The 20,807-nt window shown below is 60.9% G+C and overlaps 1 protein-coding gene across 5 annotated transcripts in view, besides 6 other annotated features; it reads left to right on the top strand.

The window, feature by feature from the left end:
• Positions 1-20,807, top strand: part of OSBPL5 (oxysterol binding protein like 5) — a 78,204-nt gene that overhangs the window by 12,378 nt on the left and 45,019 nt on the right. The window lies entirely within an intron of this gene.
• Positions 1,675-2,448: an enhancer, noted in NCBI's record as "H3K27ac-H3K4me1 hESC enhancer chr11:3171715-3172488 (GRCh37/hg19 assembly coordinates)". NCBI's record gives its function as "activates a minimal SCP1, AML or CMV promoter by ChIP-STARR-seq in primed H9 embryonic stem cells {active_cell/tissue: H9 hESC(primed)}" and the evidence as "EXISTENCE:reporter gene assay evidence [ECO:0000049][PMID:30033119]".
• Positions 2,449-3,222: an enhancer, noted in NCBI's record as "H3K27ac-H3K4me1 hESC enhancer chr11:3170941-3171714 (GRCh37/hg19 assembly coordinates)". NCBI's record gives its function as "activates a minimal SCP1, AML or CMV promoter by ChIP-STARR-seq in primed H9 embryonic stem cells {active_cell/tissue: H9 hESC(primed)}" and the evidence as "EXISTENCE:reporter gene assay evidence [ECO:0000049][PMID:30033119]".
• Positions 3,223-3,998: an enhancer, noted in NCBI's record as "H3K27ac-H3K4me1 hESC enhancer chr11:3170165-3170940 (GRCh37/hg19 assembly coordinates)". NCBI's record gives its function as "activates a minimal SCP1, AML or CMV promoter by ChIP-STARR-seq in primed H9 embryonic stem cells {active_cell/tissue: H9 hESC(primed)}" and the evidence as "EXISTENCE:reporter gene assay evidence [ECO:0000049][PMID:30033119]".
• Positions 16,002-16,609: an enhancer, noted in NCBI's record as "H3K4me1 hESC enhancer chr11:3157554-3158161 (GRCh37/hg19 assembly coordinates)". NCBI's record gives its function as "activates a minimal SCP1, AML or CMV promoter by ChIP-STARR-seq in primed H9 embryonic stem cells {active_cell/tissue: H9 hESC(primed)}" and the evidence as "EXISTENCE:reporter gene assay evidence [ECO:0000049][PMID:30033119]".
• Positions 16,610-17,218: an enhancer, noted in NCBI's record as "H3K27ac-H3K4me1 hESC enhancer chr11:3156945-3157553 (GRCh37/hg19 assembly coordinates)". NCBI's record gives its function as "activates a minimal SCP1, AML or CMV promoter by ChIP-STARR-seq in naive H9 embryonic stem cells {active_cell/tissue: H9 hESC(naive)}" and the evidence as "EXISTENCE:reporter gene assay evidence [ECO:0000049][PMID:30033119]".
• Positions 17,219-17,826: an enhancer, noted in NCBI's record as "H3K27ac-H3K4me1 hESC enhancer chr11:3156337-3156944 (GRCh37/hg19 assembly coordinates)". NCBI's record gives its function as "activates a minimal SCP1, AML or CMV promoter by ChIP-STARR-seq in naive H9 embryonic stem cells {active_cell/tissue: H9 hESC(naive)}" and the evidence as "EXISTENCE:reporter gene assay evidence [ECO:0000049][PMID:30033119]".

Below are 20,807 nucleotides of genomic sequence, written 5' to 3'. Positions count from 1 at the left end.
AAACCGGGAGCGGACGGACGCGGCAGGAGGACCCGGGAAGTACCAGCGAGGCATGAATGAGACCTGGCACGTGGTATTCCATGATGCTTGATTGGGCTGTTTAGAGGGCTCTTTACTTTTCTGTGTTCTTCATTCTTCTGTTTCTCGCTCAACATCCAGTGTGGATCACACGGTATTGACAGCCAGCAGCGTGTATCAAACGCCCACTCGCACCCAGCTCTTCCTGGAGGTTTTGCAGGCACCGGCTCTGTTCACGCTTAGGTGCCCTTTCAGGATAGAGCCAGGCTTAGGGGCGCTGCGTGCCTCGCCTGAGCCCGAGCCCATCGCGCCTCGCAGGCCGCTCCCGATAATCCTGCAGGCCCCCGCTGCTGTTCCACATGGGATCCCTGGAAGGGGACCTGGTGAAAACCAAGGCCTGGTCCCTGCCCACAGGAGAAGGGAACACAGGAGCCTTCTCCTGTGGGCCCCACATTTTGAGCAGCTTCTGGCATGTTTAGAACAGCTTTCAGTGTGCGCAGACCACCTTGGCAATCCAGTGTCACCTATACTGTTATTTAAGACCTAGATCTTTAATAAATCAACTCACTTCTTTTTGAAGTACCTTTATACCTAGAAGACGTGTTAATCATTGCTGCGGTTAAAAAATCAACGTCACCTGTGATAAACTGCAGGTAACTATGAAAACACGCACCATGAACACGAACCACTGACTACATGTTAGCTTTTGTGTGCCCTGGCCACATGGACTCACATTGTTTGCTGTGAGCTTTGCCCCCAGGGCCACCCTGCCTCCCTTAAATAGAGAGATGAGCAGGGGCAGAGCCACCATAAAGACCCATACTCTTGTCCCTTGATGTAATCGGGAGGCTGGGAAGAGAATGCAGAAGGCCTCGCTTTCTCACTGTGACCTAATGGTGAAGGCCACCTGTACTGCTGGTGTCACCAGAAGCCTCGGTGACGTGCACACTTCCGAGCTGGCTCGAGAGGCAGAGGGGGGCCTTCAGTGGCCAATTCCAGGAGATTTGAGAACGGGCCCCTCTCCAGGAGCAGCCGGAGGAACAGGCAGCTGTCGGGGCTGCAAAGCCCGCCCCAGGGAGGCAGGAGAAGGTGACCCCAGTGACGGGGCCCATCCAGGTTCCCAGCACAGCGTGGCTGTGTTGCCTGGAGACCCCTTCCCACGGGGCAGACTGGCATCTGCCGAGTCATGGACCATTCTCCGAGGAGTCACCGGTTTTCTTTTTGGATTAACGCCAGGACAGTGTGTTCAGCGGGGATCCCAGAGGGGTGTAAGAACCGTTTTTTTGTGCCGTGGGGGAAATAAAGGTACATGAGGCTTCATCTTCAACCCCTTGGCTTTTCATGGGAAAAAGGGCAGGGGTCGGTTTGGATGCACCCCCAGCACATGGGGAGTGGGGAAGACAGCTGTGCTGGCAGGAAGCGGCCAGGTCAGGCTGATGCCGGGTCTGTCTGGTCACCTGCTGTGTGAAGTGGGGACTTTTCTGCAGTTTCTTCATGCTGGTGGCAGAGGGGCTGAGGAAGAGGCGTTCACACCTTTGGCCAGGCCCTTCCCTGCTCCCAGCTCTGTACCCAGGGCATGAGTGCTCTGGGGCTGCCATAACAAATGACCACAAACTAGGTAGCTTAGAACAACACAGAGTCATTCACAGTGATGGAGCCCAGAAGTCTGAAATCCCAGTGCCGGCAGGGCTGCGCTCCCTCCGAAGGCTCTGGGGGAGGATTCTTCCTGCCTCTTCCAGCTCCCAGGGGCTCCAGGTGTTCCTTGGCTCGTGGCGGCATCACTCCGATCTCCGCCTCTGTCTTCACGGCACGTTCTCCCCTGTCTGTGTCTCCTCCCCTGTCTTTTCACACGTGGACCCCAGGCATTGGATGAGGACCCCATACAGTGACCCTCTTTCCAAGGTCAGGGTCACAGGTACTGAGGTTAGGACTTGGACACACCTTTCATGAAGACACAATTCAACCCTCCACCGCCGGGAGAGGGTGGCCACAGCGGGCAGCCCGCCGTGACTCCTGGGAAGACGGACTAGGATCGGAACCTGTAGAAAGACCAGGGGTGGCATTCTGGGGCATGGGGATGACATCACAGATGCAGGCGTGCGTGATCACAGTCGTGTTTAGTTCTAGGGAGCAGGGGGTTTTTCATTTCACAGATGAGAATAGTGAGGCTTTCCAAGAAACCAGGAGCTGCCTGGGACACCCAGGCTGTCAGCAGTGAGCTGGGAATGAAAGTTGGGTGTGGCCACGGGGGAGACCCCGGGGAAGGGAAGAGTTCTGCTCCCCCCAGAGGCATGTTTCTCCAGTGAGCTCTCACGACACCACAGGCCGCTGGCCTCTGTGTCTGTGGGGCAGGACACCTTGATTCCCTGGCCTCCTGACCCCTGTCTTGCCCCTGAGATGGTGTCTGCACGCTGCTGACATGGCAGCCCAGCTTGGACGGGTGGGACGTGCCCACCTAGGGGCTGCTGGGCTCCTCCCTAAGGAGGAGGAGCTGCTGGGTTCCTCCCCAAGGCTGCATCCTGGTCCCAGGTGCCCGGAAGACAACCTGGGACAGGCCTGTGGTTGCATCAGACATGTTTACCTGGGAACCAAAAAACTTTTTTTTTAAAAAAAGCTGTCTTTAAAAAGTGAGGGGGAGAAAAGCACCGTCTGCTCCCCCCGGGGACTTGGGACCCTGGCTCCCGAGGGCAACTTGCCTTTTTGTACTGGCTCAGACTCAGGCATGCAGTCCTTAGCCTGGAGCCTCCTGCCTGGGGCAGGAGGGCAACAGTGCCCTCTTGGGAAGCGGCAGCCATGCCAACAGGGGAAACAGCTGCTGGTTGGCTTCAGCATCCTGATTTGCTGTGTGTGTGTACGTGTGTGTCTGTGTGTGTGTGCATGCACATCTGTCTGCTTATGCATGTGTGTGCATGCATGCATCTGTGCACATGTGTATGTGTGTGTGCCATGCATGTGGTTGTGTGTGTCCATGCATCCGTGTGTGTGTGCCTGGGAAGGGGGTGGTGAGCAGTCAGGATGAAAGAGGAATGCAAGGCCACCATCACACTCGTGCATGTCAGCACCTGGCACACAGGGAACACTCACCAGCAGCCACAGCTGGCCCTTGTGCCCCGGGCTACGTGGTGCCTGCCAGGGCGGTGACCACCCGTTGACTGGTCAGTGACGGGGGGGTCGTTTGATGATCAAAGAGGAAGAAGGGACAGGGCGCAGGGGCCTCGGGGAGCACCGCTGTGTGCTGGAAACCACATGTCCTGATAGGACCTGCCTCCCAGGACGACCGTGAGGACCAAATCAGATCAAAAGAGCCTGGGCAAGGCTGCAGCGGGCACCTGCTGCTGCTGCTGCCTGACGCATAAACTGTCCCCACGGCCTGCGCGGGCGGCACCCCTGCCACAGGCACACATGGGCAGGGGAAGCTCATGGAGCGGCAAGCACTCTGGTCATGTTGATGGGGACAGGGAGGATGCTGGCAAGAGGGTCAGCCACAGTCACAGCACTCACTGCCTCCCTCACCAGAGGCCAGTACACTGCAAGATCTTGCCCCTTTCCTGGCCACCAGATAGGGTAGGGGTGCTGGGAGGTCTCCCAAAGGGCGACTGCCCCCCCAGCCCATGCCTGTAGGAACAGAAGACAGCTCTGGGGGGCCTGACCCGGGCCTCTGCTGCATTCCGGCCTTGGGGACTTCCAGCGTGGTGGTGTGGACGCTCGGGGGGCCCTGGACAGTGGGAGAGCCATTCTGATAAGGCTGGAAGCTGATAAGGCTGGAAGCCTCTGGAAAGGGCTATTGCTAAGACACAGGGCTGGAGTGGCCTGGAGGTGGCTTTGGCAGCTGATATATAAAGGTGGCTCTGTGGTGGGCCCAGTGGGGAGGTCAGGGCTGGGGCAGGTTCTGAGCCTCTGGGGGTCCATGCTCTCTGGAGGCTGCAGCCCACGGAGGAGACCTGGCCGGCCCCTGCCAACCCACAGCAGAGGCTACTCAGCTCCTCTGCGAATTCTCCAGCTCATCCTGAGTCTTAATCCCCTTATCTTAATAACCTCTTTTATCTTGTGCCGGTTACTTGATTTTTCACCTGTTTGAGCCTCTTATCTAGCTGGTTGTCACCTTTGCCTTCTTAAAAACCCTTAGCCTCCCTCTGGGAGATGCAATGCTGCTATCATGCCAATTTCCTCTCCTGCTTTAAGGCTCTTCCAAAATTCTCCTCTTAAAACTCCATCTGGGTAGTGGATTTCCCTTCAGTTTGTGCCTTCAAGAGAAATCTGTGTCCTCTCCCGTTTGGCTTCGTATGATAGAAAATGTCAAAGATGTACAAAAGTGCAGAGGACGGTGCCCCCGCCCTGCCGTCATGGAAGCCGGTTCCAGACAGCGCCCCGTCTCCTCCACCTGGACAGCCGCTGGAAAGAGACTCCGCACTCACCTCCGTTCCTCTCTCTTCTGTGACCTCTGTTCTTCCATCTTGTTACCCGCCTTCAGGGCTGCCAGCAGGAAGGTGTGGGGGGCAAAGTACGTGTCATGGGAGGGGCACTTCCTCTCCACCCTCCCTGACTCCTCGGCCCTTGCCTCCCCAGGTCAGGGGTGGGGGCCCACATGTCAGTGTTGGATAGTAGAAGGAATGGGGAAGGTTCTGGAAGATCCCACCCCGATGCCCCTCATGACCTTGGGGAGTATGTAGTGGGGTCCAGCCCACCTTCCCAAAAGACAACTAAGAAAGTCAGCAGGTGCGGTTTCCGACCTGCTCCCCGGGGAGTCCCGGCTGTACTGTATACACATCGTGGTCAGACTCCCCCAGGAGGCATTCACTGGCACCTACTCCATGTTCGGGCACTGGGGGTGCAGGGAGAGCTGTCTGCACCATGCAATGGGAGCCTCTGCAGCCAGTGTGCCAAGTCTGGGTGCCGGGGGCGTGCGGAGGATGAGGAACAGGAGAGTGACCAGGCAGGAGCCCAGCTAGTGGCCCCAGAGGTCCTGGGAACCGAGGGCAGCTCGGTGAGGCCAGGGCCATGGTGGGCGTTCAGTCGCAAGAACAGGCTCTTGGTGGTGGAGACCCAGACGAGACAGAAGGGCCCGGGTCACTCGCATCAACTCCCACTTGCCGAGGCTGGTCCTGTTCCTCCCCAGCGCCTTTCATGCCCCTGTGCCCTGTCTAGGGCCACGCCCGGCCTTCCCTGCCCCGACGCACCCACGCGTCCCTGGACACGCTCACTCCCATAAATGCCTCTGCCAGCCGTCCGCCTCTCTTCCAGCAGATATTGATTACAGGGGGTTTTAGTCCCAAGGGTAAATTTCTGGAAGTCCATCCCTGGCTTAAAGGACACGTGAGCACTTGGCGCCTCGATTCGAGTTCACAAACGGCACTCCGGAGAGGTCAGTGCAGCTCTGCCTGCGTTGCTCCGTCCCAGCTGGGCCTGCACGGGGCTATGTGCCCATAGCAGGGCTGACTGGGCTGACCCACAGCCTGGGGCACGAGGGAGAGGCTGGAAGCAGGCCTTGTCACCATGGGCTGGCCTCGGCTGCGGCTGTCCCGACCCAGGCCGCTTGAGGTCAAGCCAGGTCGGCCAGCAGAGGCAGGAGCCGTGCCCAGGCCCATGGCAAGCCCTGTGGGACACAGGCTGTCAGACACATCCAGTCCTGGAGCTGGCGCCCACTCCCCCTCCTCCCAGGGCCTCTGCCAGCATCCTCCTGGGTGGGCCCGGCCCAGCCCTAGCCCCTGACTCTGGAGCAGGAGTCCCAAGTCCAGCACTCAGGCCTCACAGAGGCCTTGCAGCCCTCCCACCCGCCCGGTCCTCTTGAGACGGGGTGAGTCACACGGCTGTGGTTCTGCCTTGGGGAAAAGTGAAGCCCAGGACGTGAGGGTGACTGGGAAGGATCCCAGGACAGAGCTGGGGCCTCGGCCCACCCAGAGCTAACAAGGTGCGGGCTGTGCGTTTAGCTCAGGAGGGTCGTGACAGCTGCCAAGGCCCCCGTGCCCTCAGCTGAGCCACCTCTAAAATCCCAGCCCCTCGTGAAGACCAGAGCTGGGTGTGCTGGGAAGGGGCGTGAGAGGCGAATCATAAATAGAAACGCCAGCTCCAGCCACGGCGAAGGGGATCTGGCTGCCAGGGACCCTGCAGTCTGCTGCCCTGTGCCAGGCCGCTTCGGGACAGGCTGTACAAAGGCCAACTCAGTCATCTCCCAAACCCCAGAGGGGCCCCAGGATTGTCCCCCTCCCCAGAGAGAAGCCTGCAGCCTGGAGCTGGCCTCTCCCCCTGCACTCAGGCACAGCTGTGTGCCCAGCGGCTTAGCAGCTCTGCAGAAGGCAAGCGACGGAGTGCCCGAAACCGGGTGCGATGGAAACCGGGTGCCAGAAAGACACCGGGTGCCTCGTCCCAGCCATGCCGTGACAGGGTCCAACAGCCGTGCCCACAGGCAGGGGGCTTCTGACCACCACGTCCCACCCAGCCTCTCCTCAGGCCAGAATCTCCACCTGCATTCTCTCCGTCCCCCACTCTCAGAGGTACCCCCAAATCCTGTAGAGGAATCCACAAACGAGACCCCTTTCCTACCTTCCCGTGAGTTCCCCTCCTCGTCTGCCCTCACCTCCCCCGGAGTGAGCTCTGTCTCCTCAAAGAGTCCCACACGCCCTGGGGGTTTCCCGCAGGAAAGAACAGACTTCCCCAGAGGTGGGTTTGGGGGTGGGGGCGCAGCTCATAAGGGCAGTGTGTCTGTCTCGCTGGTCTGCCCGCCCTGGTCTGAGAGCTCCGACGGGGCCGCGGGACCCTGGCTTATTTTTCTTTTGTACCCCTAGCATCTGGTGAGATGGAAGGGCCTGGAATAGAAATGACACTCGGCTTCTGTGGGCTCCTGGGGCCAAGGCCCCTGGGTCTGGCTTGCTCCCGGCAGGGCGGAGGGGCCCCCAGGTGAATCCTCCCATCCGCAAGTGGAACGGCAGCTGAGGGTGGTGTTCAGAGCACATTTGCCGATTGTGACCCCGGGAGGATGTACCAGTGTCCCTGTAACCCTCAGCCCACCCAGAGTCATCTAGGAGTGTCGTGGAGTTGTGACTTTCCTCCAGGTAACAAAGTTAAGTGAACGCAGGCTGGGCTACCAGGTGCCCATTGCCAACCACTGAGGGCGACAGGCCGGGGTTCTGGTCCGGTCTTGTTCGGCCAGGCCCCACTTCCCACCAGGGCCTCCCTCTTCTCATCTGTAAACTGCACAGGGGCTGTAAATGCCTCGCTGGCCCTGCTGGTCTGGGGTCTGAGGGTGCGAGTCTGTGAATGTCCTCCAGGAAGCAGCCCCCAGCGCAGACCCCTGCTCTTGTGTGTGGGTCTCAGCCGGCACTGGGACTGCAGCCGGGTCCGATGTCTCCCAGCCCTCAAGAGGCCAAACCCCCACCCCAAGAACATCATGGCCAGGACAGCAGGCAAGTGAGTGCCAACTCGCTGGGCAGGGGTGGCTTCCAGAAGGTTCAGTGGAGGCTGTGGGGCAGTGGGAGACAGTGCTGGCCCGGGAGGAGGGGATGTGACCAAGGGAATGGGGCTCGTGAAGTGGCCTGGCCTGTGGGACTGGTTGCAGGGGCTGCCAGTGTGACAGAATTGTGGGCCCTGCTGAGGTGGCACAGCTGGTGGTGGAGGGAGGGGCAGGGCCCCAGGCTTCATCCGGAGGCTGGAGCCCTGGGGGAGGTTCATCAAGGGGCTGACGGGGTTGAAAAGGTGGCTCTGCCACAGGCGATGGGAGGCAGTGGGGCAAGTTGATGGGCTTCGTCAAATCCAGGCGGGCACGGGGCCAGCCCAGGTGCACGCAGAGAGCGTGAGGGCCAGGCAGAGCGGGAGGGATGGGCTCCTGTGGCTGAGGGGAGCGCAGTGCCCCTTCCGTGGGGAGTCGCAAAGAGCCAGGCTGCCCCCCAAAGGCCTCCGCTGGGCTAGATGCTACAGAAGCTGCCTGTAATGGGCTGAACAGCGTCCCCCAAAAATGTGTCCAGGTCCTAACCCCAGGTACTTGTGGATGTGGCCTTGCTTGGAATCCGGGTCTGTACAGATGTTACTGAAGATCTTGGTATGAGACCATCCTGGAGGATCCGGGTGCCGGGGGGTGGCTCTCGCAGGTCCTGGGGAATGAGCTGCCCTGGCCCCAGGCCTGACCTCCCGCCAGGGTGGCTGCCTGAGCGTGGGGACGCCTTGGGGGACTGGGGGTTGGCTCCAGCAGACCCCGGGCTTGCAGGATTTGTAAGGGGGACATGTTTTTCCCATTATAAAAATGTTCCCCAAGAGGCAGCATAACATGGGGTGTCCCCAAAGTCAGACCACCCACGTGTGTGGCTGCTCAGCCAGTCACAGGTGGTGGAATTTGGGGCCGGTGTCTGCTGTCTCAGTGTCGGTGGAACGGGGTCAGGCCAGGCCCAGCCCGCACTCCCCTGCAGAGGTCAGCTGGTCCCGGCCACGGAGCCTGGCGGGTTTGCTGCTGGCTGTGATCATGATCAATGCATTGATGGGAATGTGAAGAGTTATGGAAATTCCACTTTGTTTTTTAAAGAAACAGCATCGGTCACCCATAGTCCACCGCTGCCAGCGTTTCTGCACACTCCAGCTCCCCGTCATGGGGCTTTACCATGTCGAGGGCACCTCACACTGCTCCTTGGCACCATGGCACCCCACTTCCCTGGGGCTCTCATTGTCAGCGGTTTCATTGTATCCCCCAGAGTGTGAGCTGCAGAGGAGGGGGCATGTTCTGTCCCCACCTGCCTGTCACTTCCACCCGCGTTGGGTTTTTTGTGTGTTTCTGTCCTGATGCAGCCTGCTTGAACCACCTCACAAACAATAAACCCGTGTTTGGTCTCAGGGCTGTGGGACCCCCTGAGGATGGGAGGAGCCATCGAGGTTTGCCGGGCTCAGTGGGTGCTGGAGCAGCTGGCCCCCGCCAGGCCTGACTCAGTGTGACTTGAGGCCATCGACCCTCTGTCCTGCTACCCAAACCCAGTGTCCACCCCATAGCTCCCACCACACAGGATGATCCCAAGAGCTGTCGATTCCACAGCATCTGCTGTGCACTGCAGCCCGGGTGCCTTCCTCGGGCCCTGCTCAGCTATGACCACGGCCAGGAGCTAGGAGGATCCCCCTGGGCTGCAGTAAAGCAAACCAAGGGCCCAGGGCTCCAGGATCATCTGGTCAGCCTCCAGTCATAGTGGACTCCAAAGCCCATGCTCTTTCCCCAAAGAGCCCCAGGAAACCGGGACAGAACCGGGCCGGGCCCTGGCAAGCACCAGTCTGCGTTCCGTGTCCAGACCTGCCCGTCCTGGACACTGCGTGGGCGTGGAAGCGGACAAGATGTGGCCTTTGGTATCTGGCTTCTTTGACTTGGTGCATCTCTGCGGCTCATCCGTGTCGTCGCATGTGTGAGTGCCGTGCTTCCTGCCTCCTGAAGGCCGAATGTTCTTCCATCCGTTGCACAGATGTGATCCATGTTTATCCGTTCACCCATGTGGATGTCTGGCTGTGTCCGCTCTCTGATGGCCCTGAGCCATGCTGCTGGGAGCGTGCGTGCGCGGACCACCTGGGGGCGTGTGCTTGTTTCTCTTGGGTGTGTCGCGTCCGTGCGTTTTCGCCCACAGTGCAGCCCCCCATGGGCCCCTGGAGCCGGTCGCTGGTCCACGCACTGGGCTGTACCTGCCTCCTCTGCCCCGCTCCGCACCTGCCTCCTCTGCCCCCCCCGCACCTGCCTCCTCTGCCCCCCTCTGCACCTGCCTCCTCTGCCCGGCTCTGCACCTGCCTCCTCTGCCCGGCTCTGCACCTGCCTCCTCTGCCCCCCTCTGCACCTGCCTCCTCTGCCCGGCTCTGCACCTGCCTCCTCTGCCCCCCTCTGCACCTGCCTCCTCTGCCCCGCTCCGCACCTGCCTCCTCTGCCCCCCCCCGCACCTGCCTCCTCTGCCCCCCTCTGCACCTGCCTCCTCTGCCCTGCTCTGCAGGCTCCAGGACCGTCCAGACCCAGATGCTGGGTCCCAAGGGTCTCTGCTCACACACCCCCACCCCGTGTGCCGTCCGCTGTCCTGGGTGACTGGTTTTGTCCTTTTCCTCTGGTCTCACTGTTTCCTTGTGTGCAAGGAGTGGGCAGTCACTGCCCTTCTACCCGCAAGGCTGCATGGGGCTCGGGGATCCCCAGGTGAAGGGAGACCTGCTGGTCTTCCAGCCTCCACCCCTGCACACGACTTCCTGCCGGGCCCCGCGGACACGGAGACAGAGGGACAGGTCTCCACCTGAGTGGGTCTATGAGGAGAGACAGAGACATGAAACCAGCGGTCCTGTTGATAAACGCACCACCCAGGCTCTCCACCCGCGAGACGGTGACTCTCAGACCTGTAGGATGGAGTCATTCATTTCATTTTCCTGTTTCATTCTCAGTTTCCTCATCTGTAAAAAGGGAGGGGAGCTAAGCATCCGGGTGAAATCTGACCTCCTGGGACACGGAGCAGCGAGTGGGGAGGGATCCTGGGCCCTTGTGGCAGCAGGGCATGGAGGGGTCGTGGTGGAGAGGTAGGGGCTTCCCAGTTGTACAGACCAGCAGCCCAGAAAGTGTTCTCTTGGACCATCTGGGCATTGCACTCCCCCAGCTGTGGGCAGCCCCGTGGACTTTGGGGTGGCACCAGGGCCCAGCACCTCCTGCACCAACCTGCCGTGTGGCCCTGGGCGAGTCAGCTTCTTCTCTTGGCCTCAGAAACCAGCTGTCGGCCGGGCACGGTGGCTCACGCCTGTAATCCCAGCACTTTGGGACGCCGAGGAGGGCAGATCACTTGAGGTCGGGAGTTGGAGACCAGCCTGGCCAACATGGTGAAACCATGTCTCTACTGAAAAAATACAAAAAAATTTTAGCCGGTCATCGTGGCAGGTGCCTGTAGTCCCAGCAACGCGGGAGGCTGAGGCAGGATAATTGCTTGAACCCGGGAGACAGAGGTTGCAGTGAGCCAAGATCGTGCCATTGTACTCCAGTCTGGGCAACAGAGCGAGACTCCGTCTCAAAAAAAATAAAAAGAAAGAAAAGAAACTGCAACTGTAACATGGAGAGAAAGTGGGAAAATGGCGCATTTGTACTCTTGCAGTCTTTTTTCCTTCCAGGGCGTAGAGTCCTCCCAGTCCCTGCACTGGGTGGGAGGCGGGTGGGGGGTGGGTGTTCCTACTGTCACCCCATTTAGCATCCTGTGCCCAGGGGAGGACACACATGCAAGGGTGGCGTAGGCACCTCGGCAAAGCACTGGGATGCATGAGAATCGCAACTTGGCAATGCATTGAGCGAGGTGCGAGCTTTCCGTTCATAGAAGGGTTCCCCTTGGAGGTCAGCAAAATCCAGCCCCTCCCTGTCCTCTCTGCGCAACTCGGGCCATAATGGACCCCATTAATGCCATTTCCTGAACACTTTGGCAAGCTCTCCACCACAGCGGAAGACAGATTGGGGGTCCTTCTGTTTGAGACCCCCCCCATTTCCTGAGAGACAGATTGGGGGCCCTTCTGGAAGCTCTGTTCTGAGGGGAACCAAGGAGGCCTCGGGGCTGGACCTGCCTGCTGGGGCAGGAGGGGTTTCTAGAATCCACGTCCTTCCCACTATGCAGAGTCACAGGGAGGATGCTGGACCCGAGGGTGTGTTCCCGGGTGAGCAGGAGGCGCTTGGTCAAAGGACGCTGTGCATTGTCCAGGAGCAATCACGACTCGGTGGCATCTCCTGTGCCCTCCCTGCATCACACATGATGACGATACTGTCTGCTGGGCGGGGGGAAGCCTGGGTGGCTGTCAGCATCAGAGCACTCGAAACTGCCTGGAATGAGGCTTTATGGGTTGACGTTGTTTCTGTTGTTAGGTGGTTTTTATTCCTGTTTTGGGGGCCTCTTCGTACAAGGCATTGGGCTGACCCCCACCCAAGTTGGTGCCCCCAGGGTCCTACCTGCCAGGCTTTGTGTCTTCTTCTCTGCAGTGTGTGACCCCTGACCCTTGACAGATGGCATCGGGGAAGGAGTGGCTCTGAGGTGGTCACCTGGCCCCAGGGCCCCCTGGGCTGTCACACCCATGGGCTGACCAGAGCACCAGCTGCAGCTCTGCATGGGCGGGTAGGGGTGGGGTAGGCACCTCACCTTGATACACCCAGGGGCAGCCTCAGCTCCTGGACATGAGGGGCCGCCCCAGGTACCCACATACCCCAAGGAGGACTAGGATGGGACGTGTGGGCAGCAGGTGACCTTATGACCTCTCTGGTCTTGGAAACAAGGCTCCTACAGCCAGTCCTGGGTAATGTGAGCTGGGGGACAGAGGGGAGCCGGGACGACGATGCCTGTCCACTGGTGGGGCAGCATGTACTTGGGTGGACAGAGGGCACTGCCTGGGGTCCTGGCTTCCCTCGGTGCCCCTCTCTGCTGGGGGAGGCCCTGCGTGCTCACGGAGTGTTGAAAGTGGGCTACCAGGTCAAGGCCTTGTGTTCCCCCTCAGACTGGGACCCCTGAGTGTCCACACAGGCCTCTCAGGAGGACACGCTGTGCTGGCTTTTCCTGGGCTGCCTTGGCCCTGGGAAGGGTGTCCTAGCTTGGCTGTGAGCCCTACCCTGCCTGTCCAGCACCTGAGGGATACAGGGGAGAGCTTGGCTGTGTGTGTCACTCCTGGGTGGCACCATGCTGGCCCTTCACAGAGAGCATTGCTGTGGGCTGCCCCTTCCAGAGCTGAACTCAGCAGCCTGGCCAGGGAGACACCACTGCAATTATCCCCTCCCTCCTTCTGAGGACTCAACCTCTGTTAATACAGCCCGAGATGGTGGCTGCAATTTGGGGGACCTTGGCCGGGTTCTCCTCTGCAGAGGGAGCTCCTTGGCAGAGGTGCTGCTTGGCGGACCACTGCACACCCCCCTCCCAGGCTGCACAGCCGAGCAGTGGGCCCAGAGCTTGCGATGAATGATCTTGTGAGGCTGGCTTCTCAGAGCAGGGGGGGCACCTCTGCAGGCCTGCCAGGAGCTGCAGGGAAGAGCTCCTGTTGGTGTCCTTGGCCAACCACAGGCCAGGCTGTGAGCGCCCCACCCCACCACCAGCTTCAGCCTCTGCGAGTAAACGCACCCTAGGAGCTTGTGCTCCTTCAGGGCGCGTGGCTGGGCCTCGGGGACTCCAGCAGGGAAGGCTGGCTGCCTGAAGGAAGAGAGGCCGGGGGAAGCAGCACTTGGACCCAGGGTCCAGGAGCCCAGAGAGGGAAGCCGAGAGACAGAGAGAGAGGAGGGGAGGCTGGATGTGCCCTCTGGAAGTGACTCCTCCCCATAGAGCAAGGCAGCAAGGCCTCCCTGGGGCGGGGGCTTGTCCAGAGGCCAGGGGAAGGCCTGCCACCCCCATCCTGCCCCCAAACTCCTGCGGGCAGGGCTGGGTGCCTGGGCTGGTGATTAAAGCCCCCTGCTCACTGGCTTTCCCCAGCTCACTGGAGGCCACTCCTCCCTGCCTTTCCCAGAATGGGCTCAACTCCATCACTGGGGTCTGTCTCCACCTCTGCCCCAGCCTGGTGGCTCTTCCTTCCCCCATCATCCTGGCAGGTTGCTCGTGGCCCCACAGAGCACTGGCAACAGCACAGCCAGCACCTTCAGAGCTGATGCCCCTGGCAGACCCCAGCAGGCTTGGCCACGGCCCCAGCCCCGGGGCCACCCGTCCCGCACAGCCTCCTGGTCTCCGCTCACTCAGCTGGCCGGTGGCCACCTGCTCCTCCAGGGCTGGAAGCTTCCACCTCCCTGGCTCTCAGGCCCACTGCCTCATGGTCACCCCAGGGTCCCCTGAACGGGAACAGCTGTGGTGGTGTGTGGGTGGGCAGTGGGGGAGACTGAGGCTGGAGGGTTTTGGGGGAGAGTGTGGGCCTGCTCGCACCCCAGGATCCCCACTCGGTGTCAGCGAAGACCCATCACCCGGTCCCTGCCCTTGGAGCTCAGGTGCCCCTGGAGGGCGGAGACGGACCTCAGTCTTGGCCCACAGCAGCCGCGTCCTCTTTGTTTTGCTCTGGTCTTCTTGTTGGAGTTTTTGCCCACACGCCTGGCTCCAGGCTGCCCTGGAATTAGGAGGATGAGCAGGCTGGGGCCAGATGAGGAGACACAGCCACGTGCTCAGCTTCTCAGCCGCGTGTCCCTAGGCGGCCACAGCCCAGCTGCTTCTCCCTTGGTCCCCCACCTGGGTAGGCAGCGGCCTGCAGGGCCGTCCACTGGGGGTGGCACACCAAGCCCAGGAGCCTCACCAGGAGGGCCAGGCAAGGGGGCACTGGCACCACCCAGAAGAGGCCCCAGGTGTGCCTGAGGGCATTCAGGACAGAGGCCAGCCCCACAGCACGGCAGGCGAGCGTCTTTTCTGGAAGTGAGTGTCCAGGCTCCACTGGGGGCCCAGGTTCATGTCTTATTTCCAGTGTGAATGCTGAGGCTCAGCGTGGCGGGTTTGAGATTGCGTCCACAATCCCAGCAGGCCCCTGCCTCCAGCTGCACTGCCTCCAAGTGACGGCCCCCACTCCCTTACCCCTCCCTCCCCGGCTGACCCCTGCTGCCACCTGGCTGCAGCTAGCATCTGAAAATCGGAGTCTCCTTTCAGTTGGGACAGGTGGGGTGGGTCTAGCTGGGAGGTGGTGGGTCTAGCTGGGAGGTGGTGGGGCCAGGCCTGCCTCAGGGACCACGCCCAGCCCGCCCCCATGCCAGGGCTTCTTAGGGCTGGTGGAGTGATCGACTACAGGGGTGTGGGGTCGGGGTACCAAGGCCAGCTGACCCAGTAGCTGCTCTGAGCCTTCAGTGGGCCTGGTGTCCATCAGGAGGACAGGTGGACAGGGCCGGGGACGGGCTGGCCTGGCCGGGCCCACAGGCACAGGACTTGGCTGAGGCAGCCCGGAGAACACGCAGGCATGGCTCGATGCTGCGTCCTCAGCAGTGCAGGCCACTTCCTGTGCCCCTCTTGAGGTTCAACCACTCCACAGCTGCCTCTGATAAATGTCTCCCCAGAGGGAGGCCTGGCCTCCCCCTCAGCTCCACAGCTATCTCCAAAGTGCAAAGGGGATTTGGGGCTTCAGCTGTGCTCCTTTGAGGGGATCCCAGGCGCAGCCTGGCCCACGAGACCTTAGATGGGCCGTTTCCCCTCTTGGGGTCCCAGTGTGTTTGTGTGTGATGAGGGTGTCACTTTGTCACCCAGGCTGAGTGCAGTGGCATGACCATGGCTCATAGCAGCCTCGACCTCCCAGGCTCAAGCAATCCTCCCACCTCAGCCTCCTGAGTAACTGGGACCACAGGCATGTGCCACCACAACCGGCTGTTTTTATGTTTGTAGAGACAGGGTCTCGCTATGTTGCCCAGGCTGATCTCGATCTCCTAGGCTCAAGCGATCCACCCGCCTCAGGCTCCCAAAGTGTTGGGATTACAGGCTTGTAATCCCAGGTGCAGTACACCCGGCCCACTGCATCTTTAAAATGTGATGATGACCCCTGCTCCCCTGCTCCCCGCACCTTGCGAGCATTCCGAGAATCATATCAGATGGGACAGAACATCCAGGAGGACCTGGGGGCTTTAAGGTCCATCAGTGCAGCAGATGTCCTGGGAAAGCGCATGTCCCAAGCCCCCCAGGGCCCAGCTGCCACAGCTGAAGTGCATGCCACGGCTCTCTGAAGAGGCTGCTGCTCCTGCAGGGGTGGTCAGGCTGCCCACATTAGCACTAGGCATTCGGTCCACCCAGACACAGCAGCCTGGTCTCTTATGCTGCTGTCTGCTCTCAGGGAGTGCATCTGTTGCTGTGGTGGTCTCCCTGGGGTGACTCAGGAGGCCTGCGTGGTTTCCTCACAGCAGGATCTTCATGGTCACTTGCATTGACCTTAGCAAGTTTCTGGAATGCAAACGTATGGTGTTGACATGATGGCTGCTGTCCTTTAACTGATGGCTGCTGTCCTTCCTTGGGACCCACTGACCTCTCCATCCCATGTGCGAAGAGCCAAGCATTTGGGCTTATGTTCCTTTATCCTTGTGATTTTAGAGCATTTCCCCTCCACAGTCTTGAACGAGAATCTATCTGGTTTAGGCAGAAGCATCTGTGCCGGATGTTACTGCTGAAGGCTGGCTGCGGAGTTCCTGCTTTTCTGGCCCCTGCCAATTGATGGAGCACCCCAGTGGCCAGAGCCTCCTCTCTGCCCCCATGCAGCGCGGCCCAGCCCTGTCACTCTGGGCTGTGGGTGAGGAAGCCACATAGGCGTGGAGGGGGCTGGGTCTGGGCTCACACTCACCTCTGCAGGCGCCTTCCCCAGGGCCTCCTGTGGGCCTGGGACATCATCTCCCTGACTCAGAGCAAGTCCTGATTTACAAACAGGGCCTGAGAGATGAAGGTGGCCAGCTGAGGCCACACAACCACTGGAGTCATGGCTGGGCCCTTTTCCCCAGCTCTGCGGTCCCCAGGCCTCTGCAGGAGGACAGAGGAGGAATTGGGCACAGGAAGGATGCGGAATGAGTCCAGGACTCAGCTGGATTCCTTCTCAGAGCTTCAGCCTTTCCCAGAGCTGAGGCAGTGTCTGCCCCTGGCCAAGGTTCAGCTAAGTGTGGCCCCAGCTGATGGCTCTATGTGGCCTGAGGAGGCGCCAGTGACCTTTCTTTACAAGAATCCCTTTATCCTAGCCTGAAGGCGAGCGTCTGGGAGGCAGGGGGTAAGGAGCACTTTGGAGGCTGGATTACTGCTGGGAAGGCAGCTGGCGGAGGCAGGGGGGCCATGTGCACTGGCTCTGGGTGGGGCCCCCATTGGGCCTGGGCCCCATGCTGCCAAACAGCTGGCCTTGGCGTGGGGTCAGAGAGCATGGCCCCTCCCCAGGTGTCCAGAGGCAAGCATCCTCAGGGACACAGGGCTGGCCAGGCAGAGGCAGAACCTGACCTGTCCCTCCCCATCTGCTCTGGGCTGGCACCACATGGGACCTCTTGTCTCCCAGTGGTGGAAGGGGTCTTTCATGCCCCACATGAGAAATGGAAGGAAGAGCCTGCTCCAGCCTATGCAGTGGGGGTTGGGGAGGGGTGGTCAGCCCAGAGTCAGAGCTCACTCCCTTCCTGTGCCCTCGCCTCTGTCCCCTCCGCAACTCCTAGGTGGCCCAGGAAACTCAGCAGGGCAGGAGGAAGTGGGAGCCATGAGGAGGGGACCAGGAGGTGCCTGTGGTTAACAGGAAGGGGGGTCAAGCAGTGGCTCTGGGTGTGGGTGGGACCCTGCCGCAGGCAAGGCGGCCCCCAGGCGCTGCCACCACGGGGCGGTGTCTTAGCTGTGGTCTCAGGAGTGCAGCAGCTGCACGACACCATCACGGCCACCTGCAGTCCCCGAGAGCCCCACATGTCCATCTGGCCTGGGCATTCTGCAGCTTTGGGCACAGGCAGGGGTGGGAGTCTGGGGCTAGCCTGGAGGAGGGTGCTGGGGTCTCAGGAGAGGACCTGGAAGGGGCACCCATCCCTGCCTGCCTGGGCATCCACCTCCTTGCCCAGAGGAGGGCCTCAGGAGTGGCCTCTGCCTGGCTGCCACGGTTCTGGCTCTCTGTCCCCCTTACTCTCTGGCCCTCCAGAACGTTCCCCGGCCCTTAGCAGCTCCAGCGTCTCTCAAGCCCCCTTCCAGCCATGAGCGAATTCATTCTAGAGATGCAGAGTTGGCCCCTGTGTGTGCCCCGCCCAACTGGGTCCAGAGGTGCTTGAGTAGTCAAGGAAGTCAGCTGGGCCAGTGTCCCCTTGGCGGAAGCACGGCCCTGCCCAGCCCAGCACAGCTCAGTTCAGGGGAACCCACCCAGGCCAAAGCGAAGCACCGCCAGGGCGCACTTCAGGTCCAAAGAGACGCACGGGGGCGGTCAGCTGCTCCTGAGGACTGACAGCTGGGGAAACGTTCTTGGACAAAGGGGCTGGGTCTCCGAGGAAGAAGGAGGAGCCCCCTGCAGAGGGCCAGGCAGAAGCAAAGGCCCAGCTCGGGGGCTGGGGTGCAGAGAAAGGGGGGCCTTCCATGGGCCGAGCTTCTCCCGCGTCCCCTCTCCAGCCTAGTGGGACCACAAGTGGGATTGTCAGCTCTCCCAGGCTGGTGGTTGGCCCTGCCCACGGGCCTGCACCCGGCACCCACACTTGCCCCTCCCCCACCCTCAGCCCCTCTCTGGGTCACAGGATCACCCCCACCCCACCCCCAAGTCCCAGCAGACCTCTGAGGAGACCCACTCACGCAGCTGAAGCCCAGCCCCTGTGGGCTCCCCGGCCCATCCCGCCACATGGCAGAGGAGGCTCTGCTCAGAGCACATTCTTTCGGTGGACAGCGGGTCTCCACCCCAACCCAAGTCCAAAGTGTTCCCTTTTGGTGCCTCCCTCCCTCCTTTCCAAAAGGCCCAAAGAGGCACAAAGTCATGACTGAGAAGAGCGGCTGGGCAGGGCACCCACCTGGGATGGGCTAGGGACCAGCAGCAGGAGGAGGGGCTGGGGGGCCAGCCCTGCTCACCTTGAGCCTTCACAGGCTGGGGAGTGGGCCTGGCTCACTCTGGACTAGGAAGAGTGGCCCCCACCCTAGTCACTAGGTCTGCCCAACAGCTGAACAAAACCTGGCGCTCCCCCAGGCAAGGGGCACTTGGAGAATTGGTTCCTGGGGACACAGGCAACCCCCAACAATGGAAGTCGTGCCTGCTGGGTGGCCAGCGGATGGCTACAGTGGCAAACACAGGGCCCCTGGAGGAGAGCAGGAGGCCCTTCCTGTCCTGTCTGGTGACAGCAGGAGGCCCACGAGGCGACCCAGCATCTGATGTGACATTGGAAGAGGACATTTCCTTAGGCCCCCCAGGAATGGAAGCTGCAGAAGAGGGTTGTGGCTGACTTGGACTTGGGGTCAGGTGGTGGCTTCCGGGCCCACCTGTCGCCTGCCTGTTTCTGAGCTCCAGGCCTGCACCCTTCCCTCCTCCGAGGCTTGGGCAGAGCTGGGCACTGGGGACCACATACATCTAGTGACCCCCCCCCCACCAAGCCCCGCCTTCTTCCCCAGCCACTCCCTCTTCCCTGGCCTCCTGGCCTGGCCTCCAGAATGAGCCTCCTTAGGGGACCTTGGGGTCTCGGGGCTGGGGCCCCACCAGGCAGAAACGTGACCTTTCAGACTGGAATTGCCCACACTTCCTCTTTGGCCCCAGGGACAGTCTCACCGTGGGAGGGGCACTCTGGGGCTCCTTCCTCCCAAGCCCCACAGCGTCCCCTCCTGCACTTGGACTTCAGGACTGTGGGGGCAGGATGAGATCACAGCTGGAGATGGACGCAGCACCATGCACAGTGGCGGAAAAGGGTTTGGCAACTGCAGGCTGAGGCCCAGCTGTGTACAGATGAGCAGAGAGTCATTGGGGGCTCTGGGGTGAAGGTGCTGCTGGTGTCAGGGACAGGCCAGCCCCCCAGGGCATGGAGGCCGCTGAGAGCGACCGCCACATCAACCTTGGGTGGCCTCAGGCAGGCAGAATCCTGAGGGCTGGGCCTAAAGGGTCCACCTGAAGTCCTTGGTGGCCGGAGCGTGGCCCGGGGCTTCCCCGCAGGCAGTGCAGGGCAGTGGCGATAACAGGCCTTTTGCATTTCCCAGTTTGAGTGGGATCCCAGGTCGCTGCTGCCTCAGCCAGCGTGTCTGTTTCCTTGTCGACCCATCCTTCTTTCCTTCTCTCCCTCCCCTCATGGGGGGTTCCCATCAGGGGCTGTGCTCCCTGGGGCTCCCAGCCTTCAGCTTTCACTGCAGTGGATGAAAGTCCTACCAGCACCAAGAGGGCCTCATTCCTCAGCAGCTCACACCCTGCAGATGCCAACTTTCCATTATTCCTTAGGCAACGCCTGGAGTGGCAGATGGCCGGGGGATGGGAACCTCACTAGGGTTCCAGTGGAAATCAGCCCTAAAACTAACCCTGCTCACCTCTCTGAGGACCCTGCCCTGTCCTGGAGACCTCAGGAACAGTGGGGAGGCAGGCAGGCACCCCAGGCACCTCCAATGGGGAGTGCCTGCTGCACAACCACCGAGGGTCTCCACCCTGGAGCCGTGCGACACGACAGGCAGCCTGTGTGAATCCAAACACATGGGAAGCACCTACCGCGTGTCCCTGCCTTGGCTGCTGGGACAGAGCCATGATCAGACCCCACCACCCCTCACCTGCGCTGCATCTGGTGGGAGAAGTGTGTGCGAAGAACAAAGAAGTGCAATGTGGAGCCCTCCAAGGACTCCCAGTGCTACGTGGAGAATCTGAATCGACTCCCAGAGTGGCCAAGCCTCCGGGAAGTGACATTGAAGCTGACAGTGGAATTTGAGGAGGACCGGGCCATGTGGAGATGGTGGGCGGGCACATTCAGCAGGAATGGGAACATAAAGGGGCCAGTGTGGCTGGAGCAGAGTGGGCGACAGAGTGGGCTGGGGAATGGGGTGGCGGGAGGGCTTGGGGAACAGGGACGGGATGAGACTGGATTTGTTCTAAATGCCATATGGAGCCACTGGGGAGATGTGGCCTTTAAAATGAACAAAACACCTCCCCACCAGGTGACCATTTGGGGGCACTCAGCAGGCACCTCTCAGCTGTAGGGCATCAGGAAGTCCAAGGGATGGGGGGCTCCAGAAGGGCTCCACAGACCAGGATGCCTTGTGATGAGAGCTGCCGCCCACCCTGTCTGAGCGGGTCAGAGGTGGTCTGCAGGGCCCGGGGCACTGGACACTGGTCTGGGGTTGTTGGCACACAGAGTGATAGTCCCTGGTACACACCTGTATTGCATTTGGATTGGTGAGTGTCTGTTCCATATCAGTGTTTCAGACATTATTTGAATACCACCTCAGATGTGTCTGAGTGTGAGGTGAATGGGAAGG

This window comes from Homo sapiens, chromosome 11 (genome assembly GCF_000001405.40).
Source record: "Homo sapiens chromosome 11, GRCh38.p14 Primary Assembly".
In the NCBI taxonomy this organism is placed as follows: domain Eukaryota; kingdom Metazoa; phylum Chordata; class Mammalia; order Primates; family Hominidae; genus Homo; species Homo sapiens.
The sequence above is the reverse complement of the archived record's forward strand: the minus strand, read 5'-3'. Positions and strand labels throughout refer to the sequence as shown.